This window comes from Homo sapiens, chromosome 7, assembly GCF_000001405.40.
Source record: "Homo sapiens chromosome 7, GRCh38.p14 Primary Assembly".
In the NCBI taxonomy this organism is placed as follows: domain Eukaryota; kingdom Metazoa; phylum Chordata; class Mammalia; order Primates; family Hominidae; genus Homo; species Homo sapiens.
This window is the reverse complement of record NC_000007.14, coordinates 148,464,883-148,469,108: the sequence shown is the minus strand read 5'-3', so window position 1 is coordinate 148,469,108 and position 4,226 is coordinate 148,464,883. Positions and strand designations below refer to the sequence as shown.

Genomic DNA, 4,226 nt, shown 5'->3' with positions numbered 1-4,226 from the left:
CATCAGACGTTAGGGGTTCAAGACCAGCCTGGCCAACATGGTGAAACCCTGTCTTTACTAAAAATACAAAAAGTAGCCAGGTGTGGTTGTGGTGGCTCACAACTCTAGTCCCAGCTACTCGGGAGGCCAAGGTAGGAGAATCACTCGAACCCAGGAGGTGAGGGTTGCAGTGAGCTGTGAGCTGAGTTTGTGCCACAGCACACCAGCAGGGGCAACAGAGGGAGACTCTGTCTTAAAAAAAAAAAAAAAAAGGTGGGGGGCAGTATAAACACAGTCACATGTACAGGGAAAATGCCATGTAAGGATGAAGACGGAGATTGAGGTGATGCTTCTTTAAGCCAAGGAACACCAAAGACGGCCAGCACACCATCGGAAGAGGAGAGAGGCCCGGACAGATTCTTCCTCACGGCTCTCAGAAGGAACCAGTCCTGCCAACACCTTGATCTTGGACTTCCCAGATTCCAGAACTGTGAGACAATAAGTTCATCTTTGTTCTGGCGCACCCAGGAAGCAGACACAGATGGTGTTCTCTGTGTTTTTCTCCCCTCTTCCACGGTGGCCTCTAAACCTCTGTGGACGGCCAGGCGCGGTGGCTCATGCCTGTGATCCCAGCACTTTGGGAGGCCGAGGCGGACGGATCGGCCTTGTGGTCTGGAATTCGAGACCAGCCTGGCCAATATGGCGAAACCCTGTCTCTACTAAAAATACAAAAATTAACCACACGTGGTGGCACGTGCCTGTAATCCCAGCTACTCGGGAGGCTGAGGCAGGAGAATCGCTTGAATCTGGGAAACAGAGGTTGCAGTGAGCTGAGATTGCACCACTGCACTCCAGCCTGGATGACAGAGTGAGACTCTGTCTCAAAAAAAAATAAAAAATAAATAAATAAACCTCCATGGACCGCTGAGCACTCTGCAGACACCACTGCACAAATCTGTTTGATGATTATGTAGGAGTACATACGATTGAGTGCCGGGTTTCCCCAGCCTCAGATGAGACAATAGCACTCCTCACCCTTTGGTTGCAGTATGTGGTGGACAGGAGTTTGACATCTTGTGAATTGATGAGTGTGAAGTTTGAGGCCGAGGCTTATGTATTGATTGTGACCTGTGCCAGAGAGGTCTTCATGGGCTCTCTTTCGATCTAATTTCATATATAGATTTTTTTTTTTCATGTTGCTCTGCTTCCGTGTTATTCACCTATTGCCATCAGTTTTATTTTTATTTTGTTTTCTTTCTGGAGATGGTGTCTCACTCTGTTGCCCAGGCTGGAGTGCAGTGGCGTGATCTCAGCTCACTGCAAACTCTACCTCCTGGGTTCAAGTGATTCTCCTGCCTTAGCCTCCTGAGTAGCTAGGACTACAGGTGCTCACCACCACAACCAGCTAATTTTTGTATTTTTGGTAGAGATGGGGTTTTATCATGCATTCCAGCCTGAGCAACGTAGCAAGACCCTGTCTCTTTAAAAAATAAGTAATAAATAAACATGTAAAAAGTAAAAAAAAATTGGATCTCACATAAAGCACATAAGCTTTGTAGCCAGCATCAGGAAGCCTTAAGAACTGAGATAACTGCTGCTACCAAATGTCAGTTGATGCCGATATCAAGCTTTGAGTGATGGGTCTATAAATCTGTAAATCGATGCGCAGTCACAAATGTGTAATTATTTCTATTTATATTTAGTGTACATTTCATAGAGCTTTATTTTGGCATTGTGGAGCTGGAAGCAATATTAGAGGTATTTGGCAGAGCGGGATTTGGAGTGCTAAGTGACCACACAGTGTCACAGGGCAGCATGCTAGGCAACCCAGGAGCCTGAGCTGCCCACTGGGATATTCTTGACGAGAGGCCGTTTCTCACAACACTTGACTGACATTAACCAAATGTATATCTATATATCTATATCTCTCCCATATCTTTTCCTGGATTTATCAGAAAAGCATGAAAAGTACTTTTTATGATATCCCAATTTATTTAGCCTTAAGAAACTAATAGAGACTTACAGGAAAAATTCCAAAAAGTCTATCCTTTTGATGGACTTCCTTTTTGGCCCAGTTATTTTGCATTTAGGTCATGACTTCGGAGAAAAGTTACCCAAACCCTGCCTGGGGAGGGATGTGCTCCGTTTTCAGATGTAAACCGTACTTGTATTCCTCGGGGTTCTCTAGAGGAACAGAATCCATAGGATGTATACATAGAGACAGAAATGTATTCTCAGGAATTGGCTCACACAGTTAGAGAGCCCGCAAGTCCCTGGATCTGCAGGGGGAGTTGGCAGCTGGACACCTAGGAAGAACTGGAACCAGGAAGTCTTTTGAGATTCCTCCATAATTAAGAACATTTCTAAAATTAACATTCAGAGGTCATAGAAAATCCTATTATAATAATTTTCAAAGAAGTTATTGTGTGCTGCCCTGCTGCTATCTAATATTTACGCTGAGCACTTACTATGTGCCAGGCACTGTGCTGAGAAGGACACATCCACCGTTTTAAAAATCCTTTCCAGAATAACACAATAAGGATGTTACTAGAATTATGCTGATATTACAGGTGAGGAAGTTGAGGATTAATGAGATTAAGTCAAATGGTTGAGAGTGTTGAGCCAGTCCACTGGCTCTGGGTTCCAATTCCTACCTCTTAAGCTCCACTGCCTCTCTGATTACTGTTTCCTTTCTGTCTTTCCTCATTGCACTTCTGTTTGAACCCTTAAATTAGCACCTACTATAGGCTACTGAGTAATAGAGTCACTTAGGGTGTGTCCTGTCTGCCTGTCAGGATGAGCTTCTAGAGAGAAGAGGCTCTATCACTCATTAGCTCCAGCGCCATGCACTGTGCTTGCCACATAGCAGGCGCTCAATAAACATTTGCAGAATTGAACTGAAGCATCTTAGTATGAGTACCATGGAATTGGGGTTCAGAGAAAGAGGGCTCCCAAGACTCTAATTTATTTAATCAAGGTTTTTGTTCTAAACCACAACGCAACCTGTTGGCTTGTTTCCCGGAAATTGACTTAATCACCCCCCTGCTGTAAGGTGTCTTCAGCGCTGCCTCCAGAGGATTTTGGGAAGAAAAATTAGAACCAGAGATCCTTGTTGTTGCCTCAGTGCTGGTTGTGGGGCTGTGATTGCTGTTAATGGGTCCTTCTTCCGGCTTTTTTTTTTCTCCTTTTTTTTTGAGATGGAGTCTCACTCTATTGCCCAGACTGGGGTGCAGTGGCATAATCTCAGCTCATTGCAACCTCCTCATCCTGGGTTCAAGCGATTCTCCTGCCTCAGCCTCCTGAGTAGCTGGGACTGTAAGAGCACGCCACCACACCCAGCTAATTTTTTATTTTTAGTAGAGACGGGGTTACACCATGTTGGCCAGGCTAGTCTCGAACTCCTGACCTCAGGTGATCCACCTGCCTTGGCTTCCCAAAGTGCTGGGATTAAAAGTGTGAGCCACCGCGCTGGGCCCCTTCTTCTGGCTTTTAAGAATAGACTTGGGCCGGGTGCAGTGGCTCATGCCTGTAATTCAAGCACTTCGGGAGGCCGAGGTGGGCGGATCACGAGGTCAGGAGTTCGAGACCAGCTTGGCCAATATAGTGAAACCCCGTTTTTACTAAAAATACAAAAATTAGCCGGGTGTGGTGGCGCATGCCTGTAGCCCCAGCTACTCGGGAGGCTGAGGTAGGAGAATTGCTTGAACCCGAGAGGTGGAGGTTGTAATGGGGCGAGGTCGCGCCATTGCACTCCAGCCTGGTGACAGAGCGAGACTCTGTCTTAAAAAAAAAAAAAAAAAAAAAAAAGAATAGACTTGAGTAGGAGTGCAAGCAAATACAATTAAAAGCACATTTTTCATGTTTATGTCTTTCCTGTAACCCAGAGGAGAGTCACGCAAAGGCCTCCCTGCTTCTGACAAGCATGGATGATAGAGTCAACTTGGCTGTGCGTGTGTTTTCATGAGAAGATGAGGGAATTGCATCACACGGCAATGCGCACACCCACACAAAGAGCCATGAGTGACAGACAACACCATGGGGAAGGGATTACGAGAGGGACGGACTGAGAGTCTGTGAAAGGTGACAGCATTTACCTCTGTATCCTCAGCGCTTAGGCCATGGATAAAGAAAGTTACACAGAAAGAACAAAAGGAGGGAGTAGGATGGAAGACAGGAGTGAACTGTGAAATACGTGTTATTTAAGATGAAGACATGGAAGTTATTAAAAAATGGCCCAACAGATTCAC

General features: G+C 45.6%; 1 annotated feature.

Annotated features, from left to right (window-relative positions):
- Positions 4,026-4,226: a silencer, noted in NCBI's record as "peak6829 fragment used in MPRA reporter construct". NCBI's record gives its function as "represses an SCP1 promoter by STARR-seq MPRAs in K562 erythroleukemia cells {active_cell/tissue: K562}" and the evidence as "EXISTENCE:reporter gene assay evidence [ECO:0000049][PMID:32103011]".